The sequence below is a fragment of the Homo sapiens genome, chromosome 11 (assembly GCF_000001405.40).
Source record: "Homo sapiens chromosome 11, GRCh38.p14 Primary Assembly".
Lineage (NCBI taxonomy): Eukaryota > Metazoa > Chordata > Mammalia > Primates > Hominidae > Homo > Homo sapiens.
This window is the reverse complement of record NC_000011.10, coordinates 131428618-131455194: the sequence shown is the minus strand read 5'-3', so window position 1 is coordinate 131455194 and position 26577 is coordinate 131428618. Positions and strand designations below refer to the sequence as shown.

The 26577-nt window shown below is 43.7% G+C and overlaps 1 protein-coding gene across 21 annotated transcripts in view, besides 1 other annotated feature; it reads right to left on the bottom strand.

The window, feature by feature from the left end:
* The window catches only part of NTM (neurotrimin), a 966208-nt gene that overhangs the window by 881628 nt on the left and 58003 nt on the right, over positions 1-26577 (bottom strand). The gene's annotated exons all lie outside the window — the stretch shown is intronic.
* Positions 6682-7182: an enhancer, noted in NCBI's record as "H3K4me1 hESC enhancer chr11:131317907-131318407 (GRCh37/hg19 assembly coordinates)". NCBI's record gives its function as "activates a minimal SCP1, AML or CMV promoter by ChIP-STARR-seq in naive H9 embryonic stem cells {active_cell/tissue: H9 hESC(naive)}" and the evidence as "EXISTENCE:reporter gene assay evidence [ECO:0000049][PMID:30033119]".

Below are 26577 nucleotides of genomic sequence, written 5' to 3'. Positions count from 1 at the left end.
TCAGGTCGATTACTGAGTCACCCATTGACAGCACCTGATGCTTTTACTGGCCCAGCTGCTGCCAAGCAGATTTTAAGTCTTGCTGAGCCTCTGAAATGGAACTATCATGCTTGCGTTGAACAGCACGCACACAAAATCAGCAAATGTATAGTCTACAAGGGTATCTGCAACAATGTGTCCTGTTTGGAGATGACAGACTGATTAAAAATATTAAAGATTGTGATGTCTTCCCCCCTCCCTATAGAACCCCTTTCTCCTCTGTGTGTTTATCTTTTGCTGGAGGCACATTTCAGGGCTTAAGCCTGACAGTTTCATTTAAAATTATTTACACTATGCCAAATACAGGCTTTATATATTCAGGTGATTTTTCTTCTCTCTGTGGCCCCAGCGTAATATCAAATCAGGGTGTGGAGGATGTCCACAGATCAGGATGTAATGCAGCTGTCATTAATTTCTAAGTCAAGCCCCTTTCTCCACTGCTCCCGCCCCTCTCCCCATCACTCCATGCAAACACACTGCCTGTGAAGACAACTTCCTTAAATTTATAGCACCGGCAAACGTGTGCTTTGTGGGATGGATATAAGCTCTCTGCCTCTCTGCCTCCCTTACCTTGACTGACAAAATCCCTGAGTATGGCCCTAGCTCTCCTAGCTCTGTAAAGCGCAGGAAGCAGCAGTGTGTAGGGACTCTGCTCTCCACTTAAAGTGGGTAAAGGTGTGTTGGGGGACGCCTGCCATTGCCACACGTGGCCTTTCAGAGACAAGGATAGGGAGGAAAGGAAATATTTTGTTTTTAAGAGAGAAAAGGGAATACAGTAGTCCCCCCTTACTCAAGGGGGATGTGTTCCACAGCTTCCACTGGGTGTGTGAAACAGTGGATAGTACAGAACCCCACATAGGTTAATATGTTTTTTCTTATACATACATACCTATGATAAAGCTTAATTTATAAATTAGGCATAGTAAGAGATTAACAACAATAACTCATAATAAAATAGAATGATTATAACATAGTCTGTAATAAAGGTGAATTTGATCTCCCTCTCAAAAGATCTTATTATACTGTACTGCAGGTAACTGAAACTATGGAAAATAAAACTGCAGATAAGGGGAGATGCTGTAATCCTTTTACAGGTGAGCTGAGCTCTATCTGATTATAAAACATTGAGGAAATAAACGTGCTTAGAGACTGGGAGCGATGTTTGATGAGAAGGTCCCAGATGGAAATGATGCTGGAAGGTTGCACGGGAGACAGGTTCAGCCCAGCTTGCACTTCCCAGCCCACTACTGCAGGCTCATCCCTGTGGGAACCCCACACCTAAAGGCTCTTCAGCCCTCCTTCCCCGAGCCTGCTGGTGTGGGAGGGACATGTGGATGTTGGAGTTATCACACCGTCCTCCCCAGGCAGATACCTGCAGCCAATGCTGAGCAAACATTAGAGATGGCAAATGGCTCCTGCTTTCCATATGGACGTGGAAGCTGAGGTTTGGGAACTTTAGACAGTTCCCTTTCACTTAGATTGCATATTTTATACCAACATACAATATACCAATACACCAGGAAGGTGGGTATTCCAGAAGGCTCCTTGTGGACTTGCTAATTCCTGGATAAACTCTTCTTTTGTTTGCTTGTGTTTTCTTTGTTATTTTTTTTTAATGAAAGTCTTTCCGTTGTACTTGTCGCTTTGTAGTCTCTTTCTTTTCCCACCTCTAGAGAAAAGTAGTCTCTATTCTTCATGCAGGGAATAATACTTGTGGCCTAATTCATAATAGGGTTGTTGGTACCAAGTAGTTACTGTTCCCCAAGCCTCCTAAAAATGAAAAAATTCAGACTACTCACTGTTACTCATTATCATCACAAGAGTTCTCCTCTCTTTGAAGGCACATACGGGGAAGTTGCAGAGGTTGAGTTTTCTACAGAAGACATTTCTTTCTTCTTCTCCTATGTCCCAACCTCCCATCTCTGAGAGGAGCTCCTGCTGTCATAAATTTGAGGGATTCTCCTCTGCCTATGATAGTTGGGGGCTGATGATCTGAATCCCTGTCCTCAACCATTGGTCCTGAGATGACATTGTGGGCAAGAAGGGAGGACTTAGAGATTCAGAAAGCATCCATGGCCCTGAAATATCTCTGCTTTTTGGACAGACAGCTCTGCTGAGCTGGAGCCATTGGAAATACGGTTTTGGGAGAATTGGCCCCAGAGAAAAAGAAACCAGAGTCGTGCATGCTTTTATCACCCAGGACATTGACAATTCCACAGTCCCAAAGGACTGCCAAGCCATGAAGATGGCCATTCCCTTGCCCCCAGCCCTGCACACCTGCTGAAAGTTTATTAAATAAAGTAGCAGCCTCAGTCATCTGAGCGATAAAAATCCCACCCAAAGGCAGTACCAGCACCTGTGTGGCCTGATTCTAAGTATTGTCTGCACTGCAGGAGAAGGGTGCAGGAGCTCTCAGGAATCTCAGAGAAGCTGGGCTCATACCAAGAACCATAACTAGTTGTGGAGTCTTGGGAAAGCCAAGAAGCCCTTCAGCCTCAGTGTCTTCATAGGGACTAAAATACACGTCTATGTCGATAGTGGCTCTCCAAACAAAGCACCTGTCATGCAGAGGACATTTTCCCATATCATCACATAGCTTTACAAGATGGCAAAAAAGTTATCATTAACTTCTTCCTACAAATGAGCACACACATGTCAGTTGGTTCAGAAGGCTTCCTCCTGGCCTGTTTTAATTCAGAACACTCTAGAAAGAAGTAGCCATCTGTGGAGGTGCTGAGCTCGGGAAACGGGAAATGTCTTTTCCCAAGCTTTAAAAAGAGGATGCCTTCAAAGGTGAACTCCCTGCCTGAGACCACCAATGGACTGTGGGTGAGCAAAGAGTGTGTCTGTGCCACAGCAAAGCTCAGAGAGAAAGTGGGGCCTGCAGCCGGGAGGCCACGGGGCGCTCGGCAGCACAGCAGTTTGGGAGTCCAGGCACTGCCAACAAATGCCTTTCCATTTCTCAGCCCGTTAAACTCAGAAAACTCCACACATTCAGAAGTCCTTGATGGTGATAAAATAGCATCAATCCCTCCCCCCACTTCTTTTCGAGGAAGCTGTGCCCCAGGTGCAAATCCAGGGTCCAAATGGCCTCTGATCAGGTGAGGAGAGGATGCTCAGGGTGCAGGGAAGGGGGCGGCAGCCCAGAGGAGCCAGGGTCATCGGAGAGCGGGAGGGTGTCTCAGGCTTTGCCGGCTGTTCTACTGGAGGTGGCCAGGCTCTCACAGCCTCATGCCCCTCCCTCCACTGCCATCATGGGCCAGAGCCTGATGCCTTCATGCCCTGGTAGCCCAAATGGTCTCCTTGCAGGCCACTGTGTGTGCTCCTCCTCACATCTCTCCTTCACTCATGCCCTTGTCAGAGTCAGCTCTCCAAGCCCTGGGGGACCCCAGGGTCTCCAGATCACACACCAGCACTAGTTCTCGTGGCTCCAGCAAAGATCTCACCTCTGCCGCTAGAGCCTCCCTGTCATTTGGTCTATCATCCACAAACACCTGGACTTCATGTTCCTTCCTCTAAACACCTGTTCCAGCCATACCCATCTCTTACAAAATGTCCAGATGACCATGCCCATTTCTGAATCTGCACATGAGAGTCCTCTGGCCTGGGAAGGCTTCCCTCTGCCCACAGCAGTTCCTGCATGGGACCCCCTTCCAGCTGCACCCCCAGTCTCGCTCTTCCACAAAGCCTTCTCTAAGACATGAGCCCAGAGGAATTTCTCCCTCCTCTCACTCCTTTTGCATTATTTTCTGCACTGCATAATTAGCACCTGATGGTATGCTGTCTTCTTTTCTAATTATCTGTACTAAGTAATGTGTCTTTAAAATATCCAGAGAAAATACTCATCTATACAGTTCTCTTTTGTGCATATGCTTGGTTTCCTGGCTAAGCTCGAAAATCTAAGCCTCTATATGTCATATGCTGCTCACGGTCCCACTTGGATATAGGCATAGAGTTGGTGGTCCATAAGTGCTTATGATAAAATATTTGTTAGTTATTTTTCTTTCTTGGCATGTATACCTTTTTTTTTCTAATTCTGAAACTAGAAGAAGGAAATTTTGTTCTGTTCCATTTAAAGCACCCAGGACAAATTTGAAAGATTCTTTTAAATGGTTAATATCAATTTTGATGTCTATAGACTGTGTGAAATGGGCATAACTTGTCCAAGAGAGTTTGAGGACCCCAGAAAGAGTCCCATTGCCCTGCCCTGTCTCCTTTGCACTCCTAAGTTCTGGAGAAAAAAAAAGGTTTATTTATTCAACAAACATTTCTGTGGCATCTACTACGATTCATAACCCTGAATGAATATTTGGGCTATAAAAAATCTAGACTCTACATTCACAGATTTCAATTTAATTATTTAGAGGTAGAGCCCAGCACAGATATTTTAGAAGGCCTACTAGTGATTGTAAGTTATAATCTCTATTAAGAACCACTGATCTATTATACGAAGTGCTGTGTTAAAAACTAAAATTAAAGAAAATAAAAGATGTAACTGAGACCTTGACCTTGAGAAGCCGGTGGTCTAATCAGAAAAATGGATGAGGAGCATGCATAAGAGTGTGAAGGCACCAAGGGCAGTCCAGGGTTTACGTGCACATGGTTGGCCAAGCAGCCCAGGACAAGGACTTCAGGGAGGCTTCCCTGGGGTCAAACCAAGACCTGACTTGGAAGCTGTCAGAGTGGGGATTCATCAAATAAAAAAGGGAGAAGGGTCCCAGGCGGAATGGGCTCAGGGAGAAGTGACAGCTGCAAGGAACTGTCAAGGGTAATAGCAGCTCTTCTTTGACTGAGTTCTGGCCAATAGATGGTGGGTGGAAGCCACGAGCCACTTCGGGTTATGACTCCCCCACTTCCTCACCCCATGCATAAACATTGTCTTTCTTCCTCATCTACTGGATGAATAGCAATGAAGCTGAGGACCAAGAAAGGAGTTAGCAAATACAAGGAGGGAAGGTGGGACCTGGGAAGACTGGCCCACATGGGAGTGTAGTCTTTGGGAAGTTATTTTGCAGGACAAAGTAAGTGGCAGTGACTTAAGAGACAAAAGAAAGCAGCCTACCTGCAGGGACCTGCAGGAAAGGAGAGAAATCGTTATAACTCCAGCTGTGGCACTTACAGCAGCAGTTTCATGGAGGTAACCATGACCTTAGCTAAAGCTTGCTGGGACATCTCAGATTCCAGGTCTCCTAATCCAATGCGTGCGTGAGTAAACATGGGGACATTGCCTGGAACGAACAAGTGGAGTGAGTAGGTAGAAGCTGCCTTTTCTTGACTCACCCAGTTTTCATCTGGCAAGCAGAGTGGGTTGACAGTGGAGCCTGTTCGTAGGGACAGGCTTCTGCACAGGCAGTGCACAGGTGGGACATGAGCTGGGCTTCCAAGGCCTCTCCAGTCCTGCATGGGGAGGACAGGATCAGCTAGTACACCTGCGGCCTCCATGCTTCTGGACACACACACGCTTCTCTGAAGGGCCAGCTGGTGGAAATTACCACAAGAACAGAGAGAGCACGGAGGAATTAGAAGAGAGGGTTTGATGAGAGAGATGAACGCAGCACAGATCTGGCCGGTGCTGGAATCACCATCTGGCTGTGCAGCCATCACAGGCACTCTCCTCCCTACAGCATAATCCCTCTGCAGGCAAGACGACAGGACTCAGGCCTAGCCCACACTCTGCCACCAGCCTGCTGTGCACCCCTGGGCAAGTCCCTTCCTCAAACTGGACCTCTGCTCCTTATCTGCACAACGAGGAAGCTGGACTGTAATGATCTCCAGGGTCCCCTCCTTGCCTAGAAATTCGGAATGTAAGCCCCCACCTCCATGCCCCTGTGGGAGTCCACCTGAGTGAGCAGCCACACCTGGTCACCCTCCAGTTCCTCTCACCCATGCCCGCCTACAGCCAGCAGTCCCCGGCTGTCCTTCTGTGTTGCTAATCTCATGCATGAGTTACTGCACGGCAGCTCCATTACCAGCCACGGTGTCCGTGCTGATGAGAAGAAAAATAAATGTAAGCACCTAACCTGACTGAGCCAATTTATAGCTCAGAAGCACCAGAGACCCTCCCTTCTTCCCCTTCCCTGGGAGCACACAGGACTCTGTTTTCCAAATTCTTCTTCTTCACCACCACATTTTGCCCCTGCTCTTTGAATGTGCCTATTGTAGGCCATTGCTGCTGTCTCCTAGAGGGTTCTCAGTGGATGGACAAAAGCTTCCTCCTAAACAGAAGCAGGGGCTTTAGAGATGCCCCCTGCAAAACTCCCCAAAATGACTTAGACCACCATTCCTCCCACTCTATTACAGTCCAGCTGAAGTCGAAAGCCACTGGAATGCAGCAGGCTTGTCGTGACTTCCGGGTCACCAACATCACTGGCCTGTTGGTTGGGGCCGCCACAGGCAGCATCAGCCCTAGACAGAGAGGCTGGACTTCGAGGCCTTCTCCAGCCTGCAGCCTTCTCTCCTGCAACCTGGAGGAGTGCCTCAAGGACAGGGTCGGTGTCTCTGGCCTGAGGTAGCCTCTTCCTTCCATGTGCTCTGCACTGATGGACTGAGAACTGTTCAGAGAAGAAGAAATTGGAAGTGAGGCAGCCTCTGCTGGTTTTCTCATGAATGAGAGTTCCATGAGCACCCATAAGGTCTTCCTGGTCCGCAGGTCTATCATCTCATCCTAGCAAATACTCCACCTGGCCTCCCTGGAAGGGCCAGGCTGCATGCTTAGGTGTGTATTCAAGAGCCAGGACTGCTCCTGCCAGCCTGCATCATGTTGGACAGGAGGCTGGCCTGTGTGGGGCAGGGACAGTGAACCCCCTGGGGATGAGTCCATGGGGGCAGAAAAATTATTGGTGGGGATGACAGATTATTGAACAGAGAGGCTGGATGCCATGCAGAGAAGAAGATGGTGCAGCTGTGACAGCTGCTCCAACCCCTCACTCAGGGCAAGGTGGGAGGACAAAGGCAGCGGCTTCAGCGCAGGACAGTCTGTTGAGCTCCTTCCTCGTGTAGCCCAGCCTCCTCATCTCTGAGAGTGGGCACTCACCCGGGGCTACCACACTCGCACGTGGAAGCACACGTGCTGAGAGGTGGCACAGGACAGATGTGGTCTGGCAGCAGGGCAGGGTGGGGGTGCAACCCTCCAAGCCACCAGGTCCAGCTTTCTAGGTTTCATCTTACTGGCTTTCCAGCGTTCACCAGAAATGGATGTGAAATCCGACTGCCCAAGACGCAGAAGTACAAGGCGAGGAAGTGGAGCAGAGATGCAGAACTAGGCCAGACCTGCCCCAAACGGGAGCCCTCATCTGCGGTGCATGATGGCGGCTGCGGTTCAGGCCTCTGTGCTGGAGGCCCAAATGGAGATGCAAAATCTCATAATGAAACATCTGTCTCCCCTCTTCTCTCCCTTCCCCCAACTCATCCAATTACCACATCTAACATTATCCATCATCTCGTCTTTGTGGCAGCAAGAATTGAAGAGCAGACGGGGAAATTAATAATAATTGTGGTGTCAAGGCATGGGATGCAATCAGAATGCAGCGTGGAAACAAATACAAATACAAACAAACCATATTTATTCTTCTGAAAGATTGCTCAATTCTCACTCCCTCCCTCTCCCGAGAGCTGCCGGTGCTAGAGCTCAGGAAAGAGATGAATCAGTGCTAATGTGGGGATTAGGAATTGATTCTGCAGCCCCAGCCTGCACGGCCACAGGGAGCGCTCTAATTGAAATTAGAGCAGGGATTTCGGAGCCTCTGAAGAGGCAACCAAAATTCATCAGGGCCCAAGTGGGAAGCAAAGGGAAGGGGGGTCTCTTTATTTCATGGTTAGCACGTGAACTCTGACAAGATAAAATGATAAACAGAAGCAGCGGCTAGGAAAAGGTCAGAGAGGAGGTAACTCCCCTAACCTTGGGGGTCCAAAATCACATCCGAGGCACTCCAACCAGCCCTCTTGGCCATCGCAAAACCATGTGGTTCTATCCCCGTATACAATTCCTGAAAGCCTGGAAGTTGCTCTAAAGGAGAATATTCATCTCCCTGCAGATACAGACAGCTCAATGACCCATGCTAATAAGCAGCAGCCTTAGCCTGGGTCATGTAAATTAGGAGACTATCAAAGCAAAAATAATTTCCAGCTTTGGTGTGTCTTAACACAGTCATATGCATATTCCATTTCTATCTTTCCTTTCTGACATTCTTTTCAGTTAGGCTAACAGTTAAAAGTATGTGCTTTCCATCAGCCTCTCCTCTGATCGCTGTGAAGGACCACAGCCAGCTTTTAGCTGGGACCTATTCAAATGATGACATGTGTCCTAGAAATACTCTAGATAGCAGTAAGGATGGAGGCCTCCAAGTATGCTGAGCATTATAAGTCATCTGGGTCTTACAAACTGCATTAACCCTCATGAATCACATGTAGTCAGCAATGGCCATACATATGTGTACTTAGAGTTGACTTGATCCCAAACCTTGAGTCAGAGAAGAACTTACGACTTCTACATGGGATCCAAGTGCTGTGGGTGAGGCCATGAGCTCTTGTTTCAGTTGACTCCAGGAAGCTCTGGATTTCAAAGGGGAGGCAGAGGAAGGCGAATGTGCGCCTAGGTGGGATGGATGGAATAAACCCTTTTATATGAAGAATTCATTTTTTTTAATGTTCTAACTAGTACTGTTTATCATCTCTACTGAGCATCACAGAAGAAAGAGAGAACAGAGTTTGTCTAAAACTCTGAGTGTGCTCTTTTGGAAATTCTAAAAGGAAAGAAAAGGGAAATTTGGGAGAAGAACAGCTGGGAAGGGTGAAAGGAGACAATGCACAGGCGGTTTCCATCTGCAGGCTGGTGAATTTGGGAAAACACCCTGAGGCTGAGCCGGGCCTGGGAAGTTCTCTCCTAGGGACGGTAATAGGAACAGTTGTCCAGAATGCAAATTGTATTTCAGCACAGAACATTTCCATAGCCTCACAACACCAAACTTAAGTGGGGCTCAGATGAAGGCTGGGAAATCTCTGATCTATAAGATAGCCCTTCCTCCAGTAGGCTTGGGGAATTGGGTTGGACTTAAGACGTGTGATGTCTTAAGTTGGATATTTGAAAACTCTGCAGAAATTATCTGGAAGTTTTAGTTGCTGAGATAGGTCAAACTAGAATGGGGTGGGCAATTGATTTCTATAAATAACTGGATAGTAACTATGTTAGCCTTTGCAGGCCATCAAGTCTTTGTCACAATTACTCAGATCTATCCTTGTAGGGAAGAAGCAGCCATAGACAGTATGTCAATTAATGAGCACCGTTATGCTCCAGTAGAAACTAATAAGTGGCAGGCTGCATTTGACCGGTGGGTTTTGCTGAGTTTGCTAACCCTTGACCTCAAAGAAAAAAATAATTGGGCTCACAATAGAGTGCACCCCAAAAGCAAAGGTGGTTGGATGGTACTTGGATAAATCTCATCTTGCAGGAATTGTGAATGCTTGCCAGGCTCATCATTTGGAAAAACAAGCAAGTCACATGTGTCCTGGTCACTTACACTAGTACACCTCTAAACACTTCCATGTCTCTCTCTCCTGCTCCCACACTCTGGGACTGATTACCACAAGCCATCTCTGACCTCAAAGTTGGTTAGCTCATCTGTCACACCCCACAAGGTCACAGCCCTATCTCTGGTATGCTAAACAGGTCTACCCAGTTTAGACAGTGATCCCCAGGTCTTGTCTTCTTTGCCTATCTGCTTTCTCACCTCATCTCTTCAACTAAAAGTGAATTTTCCTTTTCTCATTCATGCATTCAGATGATGCACTGTGCTTCCTAAGGTGACCAATGAGAACTAAATGAATCTCAAATCTGAATGTGCAAATGTGTCAGTGGGTGCTGATAGTGTAAAGCTGGGTCTCTGCATGGCTGTATACATACCCTTAGGGGTACAGGGCAGTGTACGGAGATACAAATGCCACAGGAGAAATACAATGCAGCTCTCAGAAGCATGCAGTGTGCTCTAATCATTTGGGAGGAAAGTTAAATATTATCACTAATTCAAAATGTTTTATATTAAAAATGGCTATAATAAGGATCATCATACAAATAGGATAGATTAATAATTGATGTGAAATTCCAATATTGCTGCTGACTTCTTGGTATTATACTATGACTTCAGGTTGCTATGGATATGCACTTACTTTTCTCTCTCATTAAGATATTTACTTATGGAAAAGTTTGAGAAGCACTGATTTGATACGTACCCCTTTCCTGATTTTATGAGAAAATCAAGGTCTAATGTAATCTCACTATTTCTCATCATCCTTCCAGGAAACACATTTGTACCCACATATAACCTTCTCTTACATCTTCTCTCCAGTCTTAGCCAACAGAAAGCCCTGTTAGATCAACTGATTCCACTTGTATCCTTGACCCCAACTTCTCCACTCTTTCTGTATCATGGCTTTCTTCTGTTGGTCATCTTTAACCTAACCTAAATGTTCTGTGCCACACCCCCCACAACCACACTTCTTAAGGCTCTAGTATAGTCATAAACACATTCAAGAACCTTCCATGCAAAGCCCTCAATTTATGCCATGACCTTCTTCACCATCCAATCTTTCTCCTTCCTTCCTCAATTCATTCTTCTCAAAACATAGTCCATGATCTCTTTCCCTTTCTATTTCTCAAGCCCCAACTCTCTAGTTTCTATCCTCCCTATTCTATTGAAACTGCTTTTAGTCAGATCACCCAAGACCTCCTAACTGCAAAATTTGTAGGTCATTTCAAACCTTGTATTACTCGAACCATCTGCAGCATTTGATATGAGCAATCTGATCCCTTTTCTTTCTCTTTCCATAAGACGCACTCCTTGGACTTTTATAATGTCAAGTTGCCCCTGCTTTTTCTCATTTCATTCTTATTGTTTCTTCCATTTCTTCTTTCTGTCCCCCATATTGGCTTCTATTTTTTTTTTTTTTTTTTTTTTTTTGGTTCTAACCTTTAGCCACTGTTGAGCATCAGGGTTTGACTTCCCTTTCTCTACCACCTTTTCTTAAATGAGCTCAACTCTCAACTATTCTCATTCTTTTAACTAACTATGTAAGTTTTCTATTACTTTGTAACGGATCACTGTAAAACTTGCAATTTAATAACGCAAACATTTTCTATCTCACAGATTCTGTAGGTCGGGAAGCAGAATGAGGCTTAGCTGAGTGTCTCTGGTCAAGATCTCTTATGAGGTTGCAGCAAAGATGTCATCTGGAACTATAGTTTTATCTGAAGACTCAAATGTAGGTATGGAGGTATCTTCCTCCAAGCTTATTCACATGCTTCTTACAGGCCTTGTTTCCTTGGCAGGTGGGTGGGTCTCTGCACAGTGACACCTCATGCCATGGAAGTTGGCATTCACCAAGGCAAGTGATTCAAGAAGGACAGATAAAGACATCTTAAGATGGAAGTCACTCTTCTTTTATAACATAACCTTGGAAGTGAGTTCCCATAGCTGCTTCTGTGGTCTACTCATTAAAATTGAATAAATAAGTCCAGCCCACAGTTAGGAAAGGGAATAACACAGGGCATGGAGATCAGTCAATGGGGACCACTGGGGACTGTCTTAGGGGTGACCTACCACACCACCTGTGCACTGATGGCTCGATGCATATATTTCCAGCCTTGGGCATCTCCCTTGAGTTTGACTCATGTACTCACTACTTGCAGGACAGGCTTCTCTGGATGATTCACAGGCACCTCAATCTCAGTATATTCCAAGAAAATATATTTTCTTCTGCAATATGACCGACTTTTCTCTTATTCTCCAAATATGATACAACCATACACCCAGGCATTCTAGCTTGAAATGGAAAAGACAAGCTTCTTCTTTCCCTCTTCTTTATTCTGTTACAATATGGCCAGTCTTCATTGTTGAATTTTGTTACTAAATATTTTCAACCCATTTCCCTTCTTTCCAGTGCTCTACCACTTATAAAGTTGAGTTACTCATTGTATCTCTCTTTAAACACTGCAGCAAATCTAGCTTACCCTGTTCAGCTCACCACACGTACTGTGTATTAGATGCCCTCAAGTTCTGAAGACGGAGATGGAAACAGGTAAGAATATCTCCTTCTATGGAAAATAGTATGGGTATTTCTCAAAGAACTAAAAATAGAACTACCATTCAACCCAGCATTCCCACTACTGGGCATCTACCAAAGGAAAAGAAATTATTATATATAGAAAAGATACCTGCACGTGTGTGTTTATCACAACACTACTCACAATAGTAAAGGCACAGAATCAACCTAAGTGTCCACCAATGATTGATTGCATAAAGAAAATGTGGTGTTTGTGTGTGTCTGTGTGTGTATATATATATATACACACACATATATATAATATATACACGTATATATATAACGGAATACTATAAAGCCATAAAACGATGAAATTATGTCCTTTGTAGTGACATGGATGACCTGGAGGCCATTATCCTAAGTGAAATAACTCGGAAACAGAAAGTCAAATGCTGCATGTTCTCACTTATAAGTGGGAGCTAAGCAATGGGTACACATGGACATAAAGACAGAACTAATAGAGACTTGGGACTCCAAAAGGGGGGAAGATGGGAAAGGGATGAGGGTTGAAAACTTACCTATTGGGTACAGTGTTCACTATTTGGTTGATGGGTACACTAGAAGCCCAATCCCTGTCATTATGTAATATACCCATGACACAAACCTGCATGGGTACAACCCCAATCTAAAATAAAATAAAAAGAATTTGACCATGCACTGAAAGCTGTCATGTCCCCTCTGTTGTATTGCTGCTGCTGCTGCTGCTGCTATTGCTGTCATCGATGAGGAGGATGATGAAGACAGTGATGTTAACATAGATGGATCACACAATTGCTATAATAAAATGTGAGTCTCAGTCTCAACCACGGATGCAAACAAGTTTTATCTGTCTACTGCGACTTTCAGCCCTTGTCAAAAATGCCACAATCACGGGTTCCCATGCCACATGTCATCATCTCCGCTTCTGCACCTGGATGCTCAGTTAAGGCTCAGTCCTGAAAATAAACTGTTTGTGAATGAGGAAATCATCTCCGCATAATTGGGGCTGCTGAAGAGCGTGAGATATCATTCCAATTGAACAGTCTTCTGAATTTTTACCCTGTGATCTGAGGAGTGGTGCATCTAATCAATCACCTAAATAATGATTCAATCTCTTGTTGATGTACCCATCTATGGGCCTTCTATAGACATTTTCTCCAGGCCTCCAGTGTTTTCCCTATCTCCTGGAAGAACATCAGCACTTCCTCAGGAGTGAATCAAGTAAGTCATCAGCACCAGCTCTAGCACAACAGAGACAGCCGTGCTGGAAAAGCTACAGAGAGATACCATCCTCTGGCAGCAGCAGACAACCCTATTCCAGTCTGTGAATTCAATGGACTTCCAAATGCAAAAGACAGTTGGTGCCTTAGGACAAATTTAGCTGTGGCTGGGCTAGATCATGGATGGTTACTAGCATGAAAATTCATTCATATGGGTTTGGAATATAATACCTGACACGAGATATATCGGAGCTGCCATGCTCCAATCCTAGATAAGGACACAGCAGTAACAGATGGAGGAACAAGGCACTTATCTTGTTAGTTGATGGATTTATCTTCTTTTCCCCTTCCCTACATATTCCATAGTGTTGTGAGTGGTGGTTTTTGCTGTGCAGCATATGGAGAGTGAATTGATTTCTTTTCTCCTTCCTTAATTCAATAAGAATCAGAGTAAAGGATAAACAGCTTGTTGTGCTAGAAAAAATTTCCAAACAGTCAAGAAATTCTCAAACTGCCTTTTCTTCTTTCCGTAGTTAGGAATTTAGTTCTGGGAAGCATTCCTCCCTCAGCAAGAATAGAAATGAGAGTGCTTTGCATGATTAGGATAATGGCACATTCACGGTCTCTGGGCTTTGGTTGGAGACGCATCAGCTCATTCTAACTGCATGACCAAAAAGAGCTGTGCTTAATATAGGAAAGAAAGACAATGGCTTGCAATCAAAATAATTCCTGACATGACTAATTACAGTGGCCTGAAGAACTGGATTAACTTCTACTTCCTCCCAATACCCCTTTAAAACAATGGTTTAAACAATCTATATAGACAAATAAAATGAGAGAAAACATCAGCAGATGAAACACGTTGGCAAAATTGTATAGGATGGAAAGCAGATGAATGAATGGTAACTGATTCAGCAAAGCAGGGAAAGCAAAAACTGAAATGCCTGGGGAGGAGAAGCAAGCTGATTCAGGCTGCAAACCCCCAGACACGGGCATGAATTTTTTTTTTTTTTTTTTTTTTTTTTTTTTTTTTTTTTTTTTTTTTTTATGGAGGCTGTGGTGAGGGGTGGCACAAAAAACAAGACAACTGTTGAAAGTCTGTATGAGGAAGAGTTACATTCCGTCACTCATCTGTGGAACCTGAGAGCTAAACTGCTTTCCTGGGAAGAGATAGAGAGCTTATTCTCTAGAGTAGTGGTTTTCAAAAATGTAGTTCCCAAACCAACAGAATCATCATCACCCAGGAACTTGTTAGAGATGCACTTTCAGGGGCCATCCAAGACCTACAGAATCAGAAAGTGTGAAGGGGCAGGGACCTAGCAGACTGTGTTGTCCCAGGCTCCCCAGGGATTCTGATGCATGTCTAAGTTTGAGAACCACTTGGTAATAAAGCATGGTAGAGTCAGAAAAGGAGGAACTTAAGCAGATTGGAAGTTTTCTCTGAAAAAGCCACCCACAAGAATACAGAAAAAATTACTGACACTTGAGGGATCTTCACCAAAATGTGTAGCTCCCACTTAACCTAAAGAGAAGCCCTTGAGTCAACAAACTTATGTGTAGAGCTTCCAAAGGGCTTTTTAGCACCCACCTCTCAACAGAAAAATAAATAAATAACAATAAGCAGAGAATAATAAAGAACTCCTAGAAATTAAAAGAAGTTATAGGTTAAATTTTTTTAAGGAACATTAATTTTAAATATAGGAGGATAAAGTTGGAGAACTCTCCTAGAAATCAGAACAAAAAATATAGAAAATATAAATGACAGAAAATAATAAAACATCTTTTTAAAAAACTGCCAGAAAGAAAACAAGAAAATAAGAGGAGAAAATTAAAAAATAAATACCACAAGATACATTTTCAAAACTGATAGAAGAGAAATGTATTAAGTACAAAGGAGAGTAGTTAAAAAAAAAAAAAAAAGCCTAAGATGGCCGAATAGGAACAGCTCTGGTCTGCAGTGCCCAGCGTAATCAATGCAGAAGATGGGTGACTTCTGCATTTCCAACTGAGGTACTTGGTTCATCTCACTGGGACTAGTTGGACAGTGGGTGCAGCCCATGGAGGGTGAGCTGAAACAGGGCAGGGCATCGCCTCACCTGAGAAGCTCAAGGGGTCAGGGGATTTTCCTTTCCTAGCCAAGGGAAGCCATGACAGATGGTACCTGGAAAAACGGGACACTCCCTCCCAAATACTGCACTTTTCCAATGGTCTTAGCAAACAGCACACCAGGAGATTATATCCCGTGCATGACTAGGCCGGTCCCATGCCCACAGAGCTTTGCTCGCTGCTAGCACAGCAGTCTGAGATCAACCTGCAAGGCAGCAGCCTGGCAGGGGGAGGGGCATCCACCATTGCTGAGACTTGAGTAGGTAAACAAAGCATCCTGGGAAGCTCGAACTGGGTGGAGCCCACCATAGCTCAGAAAGACCAACTGCCTCTGTAGTCTCTACCTTTGTGGGTAGGGCATAGCTGAACAAAAGGCAGCAGAAACTTCTGCAGACTTAAACAACCCTGACTGACAGCTCTGAAGAGAGCAGTGGTTCTCCCAGCATGGTGTTTGAGCTTGGAGAACGGACAGACTGCCTCCCCAAGTGAGTCCCTGACCCCCGAGTAGCCTAACTGGGAGACACCTCCCAGTAGGGGCCGACTGACACCTCATACAGGCAGATGACCCTCTGGGATGAAGCTTCCAGAGGAAGGATCAGGAAGCAATATTCGCTGTTCTGCAATATCTGCTATTCTGCAGCCTCCGCTGGTGATACCCAGGAAAAGAGGGTCTGGAGTGGACCTCCAGCAAACTCCAACAGACCTGCAGCTGAGGGACCTCACTGTTAGAAGGAAAACTAACAAACAGAAAAGAATAGCATCAGCATCAACAAAAAGGACATCCATACCAAAACCCCATCTATAGGTCACCATCATCAAAGAGTAAAGGTAGATAAAGACCACAAAGATGAGGAGAAACCAGAGCAGAAAAGCTAAAAATTCTAAAAACCAGAGCGTCTCTTCTCCTCCAAAGGACTGCAGTTCCTCTCCAGCAATGGAACAAAGCTGGATGGAGAATGACTTTGATGAGCTGACAGAAGTAGCCTTCAGAAGGTCAGTAATAACAAACTTCTCCAAGCTAAAGGAGGATGTTCGAATCCATCACAAGGAAGCTAAAAACCTTGAAAAAAGATTAGACGAATGGCTAACTACAATAAACAGTGTGAAGAAGACCTTAAATGACCCAACGGAGCTGAAAACCATGGCATGAGAACTACGTGACACATGCACAAACTTCAACAGCCGATTCGATCAAGTGGAAGAAAGGGTATCGGTGATTGAAGGTCAAATTAACGAAATAAAGCAAGAAGCAAAGTTTAGAGAAAAAAGAGTAAAAGGAAACGAACAAAGTCTCCAAGAAATATGGGACTATGTGAAAAGACCAAATCTACGTCTGACTGGTGTACCTGAAAGTGACAGGGAGAATGGAACCAAGTTGGAAAACACTCTTCAGGACATTATCCAGGAGAACTTCCCCAACCTAGCAAGGCAGGCCAACATTCAAATTCAGGAAATACAGAGGACACCACAAAGATACTCCTCAAGAAGAGCAACCCCAAGACACATAATTGTCAGATTCACCAAGGTTGAAATGAAGGAAAAAATTTTAAGGGCAGCCAGAGAGAAAGGTCAGGTTAACAGCAAATGGAAGCCCATCAGACTACAGAGGATCCCTCGGCAGAAACTCTACAAGTCAGAAGAGAGTGGGGGCTAATACTCAACATTCTTAAAGAAAAGAATTTTCAACCCACAATTTCATATCCAGCCAAACTAAGCTTCATAAGTGAAGGAGAAATAAAATCCTTTACAGACAAGCAAATGCTGAGAGATTTTCTCACCACCAGGCCTGCCTTACAAGAGCTCCTGAAGGAACACTAAACATGGAAAGGAAAAACTGGTACCAGCCACTGCAAAAACATGCCAGATTGTAAAGACCATCAATGCTAGGAAGAAACTGCATCAACTAACGGGCAAAATAACCAGCTGACATATTGACAGGATCAAATTCACATGTAACAATATTAACCTTAAATGTAAATGGGCTAAATGCCCCACTTAAAAGGCACACACTGGCAAATTGGATAAAGAGTCAAGACCCATCAGTATGCTCTATTCAGGAGACCCATCTCACATGCAGAGACATACATAGGCTCAAAATTAAGGGATGGAGGAAGATCTACCAAGCAAATGGAAAGCAAATAAAAAGCAGAGGTTGCAATCTTAGTCTCTGATAAAACAGACTTCAAACCAACAAAGATAAAAAGAGACAAAGAAGGCCATTACATAATGATAAAGGGATCAATTCAACAAGAAGAGCTAACTATCCTAAATATATATGCACCCAACACAGGAGCACTCAGATTCATAAAGCAAGTCCTTAGAGACCTACTAAGAGACTTAGACTCCCACACAACAATAATGGGAGACTTTAACACCCCACTCTCAATATTAGACAGACCGACGAGACAGAAGGTTAACAAGGATATCCAGGACTTGAACTCAGTTCTGCACCAAGTGGACCTAATAGACATCTACAGAACTCTCCACCCCAAATCAACAGAATATACATTCTTCTCAGCACCACATCGCACTTATTCCAAAATTGACCACATAGTTGAAAGTAAAGCACTCCTCAGCAAATGTGAAAGAACAGAAATCACAACAAACTGTCTCTCAGACCACAGTGCAATCAAATTAGAACTCGGGATTCAGAAACTCACTCAAAACTACACAACTACATGGAAACTGAACAACCTGCTCCTGAATGACTACTGTGTAAAATAACGAAATGAAGCAGAAATAAAGATGTTATTTGAAACCAATGAGAACAAAGACACAACGTACCTGAATCTCTGGGACACATTTAAAGCAGTGTGTAGAGGGAAGTTTATACCACTAAATGCCCACAAGAGAAAGCAGGAAAGATCTAAAATTGACACCCTAACATCACAATTAAAAGAACTAGAGAAGCGAGAGCAAACAAATTCAAAAGCTAGCAGAAGGCAAGAAATAACTAAGATCAGAGCAGAACTGAAGGAGATAGAAACACAAAACCCCTTCAAAAAAATCAATGAATCTAGGAGCTGGTTTTTTGAAAATATCAACAAAATTGATAGACTGCTAGCAAGACTAATAAAGAAGAAAAGAGAGAAGAATCAAATAGATGCAATAAAAAATGATAAATGGGATATCACCACCGATCCCACAGAAATACAAACTACCATCAGAGAATACTATAAACATCTCTACGCAAATAAACTAGAAAATCTAGAAGAAACGGATAAATTTCTGGACACATACACCCTCCCAATACTAAACCAGGAAGAAGTTGAATCCCTGAGTAGACCAATAACAGGCTCTGAAATTGAGGCAATAATTAATAGCCCACCAACCAAAAAAAGTCCAGGACCAGACGGATTCATAGCCGAATCCTACCGGAGGTACAAAAAGGAGCTGGTACCATTCCTTCTGAAACTATTCCACTCAGTAGAAAAAGAGGGAATCCTCCCTAACTCATGAGGCCAGCATCATCCTGATAGCAAAGCCTGGCAGAGACGCAACAAAAAAAAGAGAATTTTAGACCAATATCCCTGATGAACATCAATGCTAAAATCCTCAATAAAATACTGGCAAATCGAATCTAGCAGCACATCAAAAAGCTTATCCACCACGATCAATTCAGCTTCATCCCTGGGATGCAAGTCTGGTTGAACATATGCAAATCAATAAACATAATCCATCACATAAACAGATCCAACGTTAAAAACCACATGATTATCTCAATAGATGCAGAAAAAGCCTTTGACAAAATTGAACAGCCCTTCATGCTAAAAACTCTCAGTAACCTAGGTACTGACGGAACGTATCTTAAAATAATAAAAGCTATTTATGACAAACCTAGAGCCAATATCATACTGAATGGGCAAAAACTGGAAGCATTCCCTTTGAAAACTGGCACAAGGCAGGGATGCCCTCTTTCACCACTCCTATTCAACATAGTGCTGGAAATTCTGGCCAGGGCAATCAGGCAAGAGAAAGAAATAAAGGGTATTCAATTAGGAAAAGAAGAAGTCAAATTGTCCCTGTTTGCAGATGACATGATTGTATATTTAGAAAACCCCATCATCTCAGCCCAAAATATCCTTAAGCTGATAAGCAACTTCAGCAAAATCTCAGGATACAAAATCAATGTGCAAAAATCACAAGCATTCCTATGCACCAATAACAGACAGAGAGCCAAATCATGAGTGAACTCCCATTCAGAATTGCTACAAAGAGAATCAAATAACTAGGAATCCAACTTACAAGGGATGTGAGGGACCTCTTCAAGGAGAACTACAAATCACTGCTCAATGAAATAAAAGAGGGCACAAACAAATGGAAGAACATTCCATGCTCATGGATAGGAAGAATCAACATTGTGAAAATGGCCATACTGCCCAAGGTAATTTATAGATTCAATTCCATCCCCATCAAGCTCCCAATGACTTTCTTCACAGAATTGGAAAAAACTACTTTAAGGTTCATATGGAACCAAAAAAGAGCCCGCATTGCCAAGACAATCCTAAGCAAAAAGAACAAAGCTGGAGGCATCACACTACCTGACTTCAAACTATAATACAAGGCTACAGTAACCAAAACAGCATGGTACTGGTACCAAAACAGATATATAGACCAATGGAACAGAACAGAGGCCTCAGAAATAACACCACACATCTACAACCATCTGATCTTTAACAAACCTGAGAAAAACAAGAAAGGGGAAAAGGACTCCCTATTTAATAAATGGTGCTGGGAAAACTGGCTAGTCATATGTAGAAAGCTGAAACTGGATCCCTTCCTTACGCCTTAGACAAAAATAAATTCAAGATGGATTAAAGACTTAAATGTTAGACCTAAAACCATAAAAACTCTAGAAGAAATCCTAGGCAATACCATTCAGGACATAGGCATGGGCGAGGACTTCATGACTAAAACACCAAAAGCAATGGCAACAAAAGCCAAAATTGACAAATGGGATCTAATTAAACTAAAGAGCTTCTTCACAGTGAAATAAACTACCATCAGAGTGAATAGGCAACCTACAGAATGGGAGAAAATTTTTGCAATCTAACCATCTGACAAAGGGCTAATATCCAGAATCTACAAAGAACTTAAACAAATTTACAAGAAAAGAACAAACAACCTCATCGAAAAGTGCGCAAAGGATATGAACAGACACTTCTCAAAAGAAGATATTTATGCAGTCAACAAACACATGAAAAAAACACTCATCATCACTGGTCATCAGAGAAATGCAAATCAAAACCACAATGAGATACTATCTCACACCAGTTAGAATGGCAATCATTAAAAAGTCAGGAAACAACAGATGCTGGAAAGGATGTGGAGAAATAGGAATGCTTTTACACTGTTGGTGGGAGTGTAAATTAGTTCAGCCATTGTGGAAGACAGTGTGGCAATTCCTCAAGGATCTAGAACTAGAAATACCATTTGACCCAGCAATCCCATTACTGGGTATATACCCAAAGGATTATAAATCATGCTAGTATAAAGACACATGCACACGTATGTTTACTGCGGCACTATTCATGATAGCAAAGACTTGGAACCAACACAAATGTCCATCGATGATAGAGAACATGTGGCACATATACTCCATGGAATATTATGCAGCCATAAAAAGGATGAGTTCATGTCCTTTGTAGGGACATGGATGCAGCTGGAAACCATCATTCTGAGCAAACTATCACAAGGACAGAAAACCAAACACCGCATGTTCTCACTCATAGGTGGGAACTGAACAATGGAGACATTTGGAAACAGGGCGGGGAACCTACCACCCCGGTGCCTATTGTGGGGTTGGGGATAGGGAGAGGGATAGCATTAGGAGAAATACCTAATGTAAATGACGAGTTAATGGGTGCAGCAAACCAACATGGCACGTGTATACCTATGTAACAACCTGCACGTTGTGCACATGTACCCTAGAACTTAAAGTATAATTTTTTAAAAAGTCTGTATCAACACCTTGTATACCTAAGAAAACTCCAAAATAGCAGGGATAAAAAGAGTGGCCTAAAATCTTCCTAAGGAAAAAAAAATATCTAGAACTCATACAAAGATGTAGGAATCAGAGAGGCACATTTCTAAAGAGCCACCATGGAAGTTAGAGAATAGAGGACATTCTGAAGGAAAACTACTCTGAGGTGAAAATTCTAAACCCAATCAAACTAACAGTCATGTGTGAAGCAAGTTGCTTACCCTTTCCTCAGGAAGTAACTGAAAAGTACACTCTTCCAAAACACAAGAGAAATTTAAAGATAATCATAATAATAAATAAATAAAAAGTCATGAGGCCCTGGAGGCAGGGATTCCAAAATAGGAGAGAGGCCTGGTTAGTGGTGATGGGAGTTCCAGATGGCAGCAGGAAAATGGGAAAACTGTGGGGAAAAAATAGACATACACAGAAAATACGTAACTCCAGGAAAAACAGAATGTTGTATAGGAAAGTCAATGTAATCATAATTCACTTGGTTTTATTTGCATTAATATTTATAATTTGAATACTGACAATTGATTCAAAGAATAATTGTCATGTAAAACTATCTATTAGGAAAATGGAAGAATTAAATGTGATGGGACAGGTTTAAGAATGCTAGGCTGGGCGCAGTGGCTCACGCCTGTAATCCCAGCACTTTGGGAGGCCGAGACGGGGGGATCACGAGGTCAGGAGATCGAGAACATCCTGCCTAACATGGTGAAACCCTGTCTCTACTAAAAAGAATACAAAAAATTAGCCGGGCGTGGTGGCGGGCGCCTGCAGTCCCAGCTACTTGGGAGGCTGAGGCAGGAGAATGGCATGAACCAGGGAGGCGGAGCTTGCAGTGAGCTGTGATCGCGCCACCGCACTCCAGCCTGGGCAAACAGAGTGAGACTCCGTCTCAAAAAAAAAAAAAAAAAAAAAAAAAAAAAAAAGAATGCTAAATCTTCATCTTTTGTAGTAGATGAATGTCTAGAATTTATGAAGTAACTCTATAAACACATTACTGAGAAATCTGGAGGTAAATATCCAAATAAACAGGTGAGAGCTGAAAATGGTTGCCTTTGGAGAATGGAATTCTTGGATGAGGAGAGTAAAGTCAATTTTCTTTTGAAAATTACACTTGTAGTACTATTGATATTTAATTATTTTCACAAAAAATACACGATTTTTTAAGTTTCAGACTTGAGGTCCTCTGACCCCTAGTCCCCGCAGCCCCACTGTACTGTGTCTCAGTTGTCCTAACCATGTGGTCTTGAACAATTCATTAGCCAGACTTAACCAGGCAGCGTTGATCTTTGTCATCTCAGGTTAACTGTCACTTCCTCAAAGGTGTCTTCCCCAACATCCTCCAATGTAAAGAAGATCCTCTGTCAGTTTCTCACACAGAAACTTATTCTACTGAGCACTCATCACAATTTGTAATGAGATAATTATTTACTTAATATCCTTTTCCCTCACTAAACTATGGAGTCCATGAAGGGATAGGTCTTGTTGTCTGACATTTCCTCACGGACTGGCGGGGAATAAAGAACAAATGAGCTTGCCTACCTCCAACCCCTTCTCAAGAACCATCTTCCCATGTCAACAATGGCATTCTCTTCTTAAGGAGGAATGTAGTACTCCCCCTGTCTGCAATTTTGCTATTAATGGTAAGAATTCACACAGGACAAAGATGAGGTCTTGGAAATGCAGAGGGCTAAATCTTCCCTCCATTTTAGGTAGGTTCAAAACCTCCTGCACTCATTAAATATTGTTTTCATTCATCAAATAGGAATCATCAAACATAAGAATGTTTCATTCTTTTATACCTTTTATCATCCCTCCCTCTACCACTCCAAACAGGGAAGTTTGCGTGGTGGTTGGGTGTGGGGGAGTGTCTGATGGGGAGGGGTAGGGAGTGGGATTCTTTGCTGGACTGTGAGGAAACTCCCTGGGAGCTGGGTTGGGATAACAAGGAGACCCTCACCCAGTGGCTGTGACATTAGGAGATGCACGCTTGGCTCCAGGCTCTGTGTAACCTTGAGAGGGTCACCTCTCCATCTGTGAAATGGGCATAGAAGCCAAAATGACTTTATCCAGATCCAGGGTGGTTGTGAGCAACAGATGAGAAGGTAAATATTTACTGCAATCATGAGTGATGTTGGGCCAGCCACACGGGGGCTGGGGATGGCTCATGAGCACGAGAGTCTCTGCTGCCCAGAGCTTCTTCCTTGTGGAGGGAAGCAGGTAAGCAGATCACTGGCCTGGGCTACTCTCTTAACCTGAGATGCAGAGGTGGGCACTGGGTGAGAGGACAACTTGGCATTCTGCCTAGAGATTCTGGCATTTTGGGAATGCGCTTAATGTTATCTTTTTATCTCATCATCTGCCTGTCATCTTGTCCACCCACCAACTCAACTAAGTTTAAGTATGTGAGGGGTCTAAGGAGGGAGATGTTTTGGCCAGGAAGAGAATACCAAGGACCGGTGCCCTCACCAGAAAAGCAGCCCTCACAATGTCAAATACCTTCCCCTCGGGCATCCTTTCTGCTTTCCTTTCCTCTCCCACTGCCCACAAGACACCCGAATGAGAGATGCACATGACCAGGGAATGATTCCCACCGTGAAAGCTGCAATCCTGAATTTGGCTGAAGGGTGGCTATAAAAATAGACAGGTACCACTGATAAACAGCAAAAGGCAAACCTAATCAAGACTGTGGGGATTTTGCAGGTCTCTGCGACACTGTGTGGAACGGCTGCAAATCAAGCTAATATGAATCACCGTAGCATATCTCCCTACAGCTTGCAGGAGACGGCAGTCCCTCGGGGGACAGCCTGGCGGGTGGGAAAGATACTAACTCTGATCCAGCAACATGTTTGGGGCCTGTGGGGAGACAGGCTATTAGGGCGGCAGCCCGCAGAACGCTGCCAGGAGAGAGCATTCAGGAAGAGCAGGTCATTCAGACTGTGTGGCCCAGAAAGGTCCTGGCTGCTGTAGCCTGCAGGGAGACCCTCCAACAGAGGAAAACAGGCAAGGCCCATGGTGGGGGGCAGAGGACCTGTCAGCCCTGCTGGAGTGCTGTGATAAGGTACAGCACAAGTGCCAGGGCTCAGGAAGAAGCATGGAGTGCCACTGAACATGATGCAACTTTCAGGGTGAACTTGCCTCTTCCCTTTGTGTAATCAGTCTGGATCTTTGCCCACTGTCACTCTCTCATCACTCAAGGCTTCCTCTCGTTTTCCTAACCACAGCTGTATGTTTACAGTGTGGCCCAGGAGAAAAAGCTGTGGATTCCAGTCCTTATTCTGCTATTAATGGACTTGGAACCTGGAGAAAGCAAGTCCTCATACCTCCCTGGATTTCAGATGTGTGGCCATCACAGCAGTCCATATACCTTCCCATCCTAGATTTTCTGCTCTTCAGTCATTCTGGATTCTTCCTTTCACCCACCTAGCTCCACCCCCATCCCTGGAACTCTTTGTATGGATAAGTCTTCCTCATAGTTTAAAAATATACTTTTCTCAAAGAACTACCTATGCCTTCACACATGGTTGGGACCCTTGTACATGCCTTAAGCATGTTGTATTTTTGTTTTATTGCAATTATTACAGCGTTCATTAAATAATTCTGTATGGCCACTCCCTTCCTGGCTATAGTCTCTGTGAGTGAACATGGTTGATGCTGCCATATCCCAGCGCCCAGCACAGTGACAGGCACTCCACAAATAGGTATTTAATGAATGAGTAAAGGCCAGCAAATAGCTTTGGAGCAAAACTTAAGTGCTTCATTCGACACTAGGTAACAGGAGTATACTGAACAAGATACAGTTCCTGTCCTAAAGCTCCAATAATATTTGGGACAGACTGAGAAGTAAACCAACAATTACAATGTCAGTGCCATAATAAGGGTAAGATCAGAGTGCCTTGGGACACATCTGAAGGAAATGCAAGCTATTTCAGGAGACCAGGAAACGTTTATGGTATGAATTCATAATTGCATTATAAATCCTACTGAATATGCAATTAGCGCAACACTGTGTGAGCAGAAAACCCTGGTGATATGGAGACAGGAAAAAAATGCATTCTTTACCATTTGTTTGCACGAGAGACCCCCAGCTGGATGTGTTCAAATAGCATATATGGAAACACCAGAGTTGTCAATTTAAGTGGCTCTGGTGTTCTCCAATATTTTCATTTGTTTCCCCACTCCTATGCGAGATAAACAGCTATTTATTTGTGTGTCACTTTTTGTCCTTATTATTCTTATTTTTTTCACAAGCATCATTATCATTAGCATCACAGATGATTGCTCTAAAAAGTAATGACACTCAAATCTGGGTTCCTAAATGACTGTGAAAACACTTAGGGCACTCACTGAGTTCTCGCAACAACCTGGTAGAGTGGGTCTCTTGACCCTATTTACAAATAGAACCCTGAGGCTGGGCGGGGGGTCCTTGTGCACACTGTGAAGGAATGGAGAACCCAGGTGTTCTCCCCATTTCTCCTATGCTCTTTGAACTCTTTTACAAGGCAGCTACCCCCTCCCTTGGCATCTCTCTCCTGAGAGGCTTAGGGAATCACAACGTTCATTTTCAGTTTTCTTGTCACCATCCCTCAATCCCTTAAAAATCAGACGCAAAGCATCACCACCTTCCAGTTCTCAGGTGAGGGCTCTGTGGTAGAACCATATATACTTTTATGACTCACCTAGTCTGGAGCAGAATTTCTTTATTTATTTTGAGTCAGAGTCTCACTCTGTCACCCAGGCTGGAGTGCAGCTGCACGATCTCGGCTTACTGCAACCTCCACCTCCTGGGTTCGAACAATTCTCCTGCTTCAGGCTCCCAAGTAGCTGGGATTACAGGTAACCACCACCAGGCCTGGCTAATTTTTTTTTTTTTTTTTTTTTTTTTGTATTTTTAGTAGAGATGGGGTTTCACCATGTGGGCCTTGCTGGTCTTGAACTTCTGACCTCAAATGTTCCACCCGCCTCAGCCTCCCAAAGTGCTGGGATTATAGGCGTGAGCCATCACCCCCAGAATTTATTTCTAATCCAAGCATTTATTCAATTATCAGGCCAGGTTTTTTTGAGGCTCTACTATGTGTCAGAAATTGTGCTAAGAGGTTGAAATGATACAAAGATTAAAGTATTAATTTCTTCCTGTTCTTTCCTCAA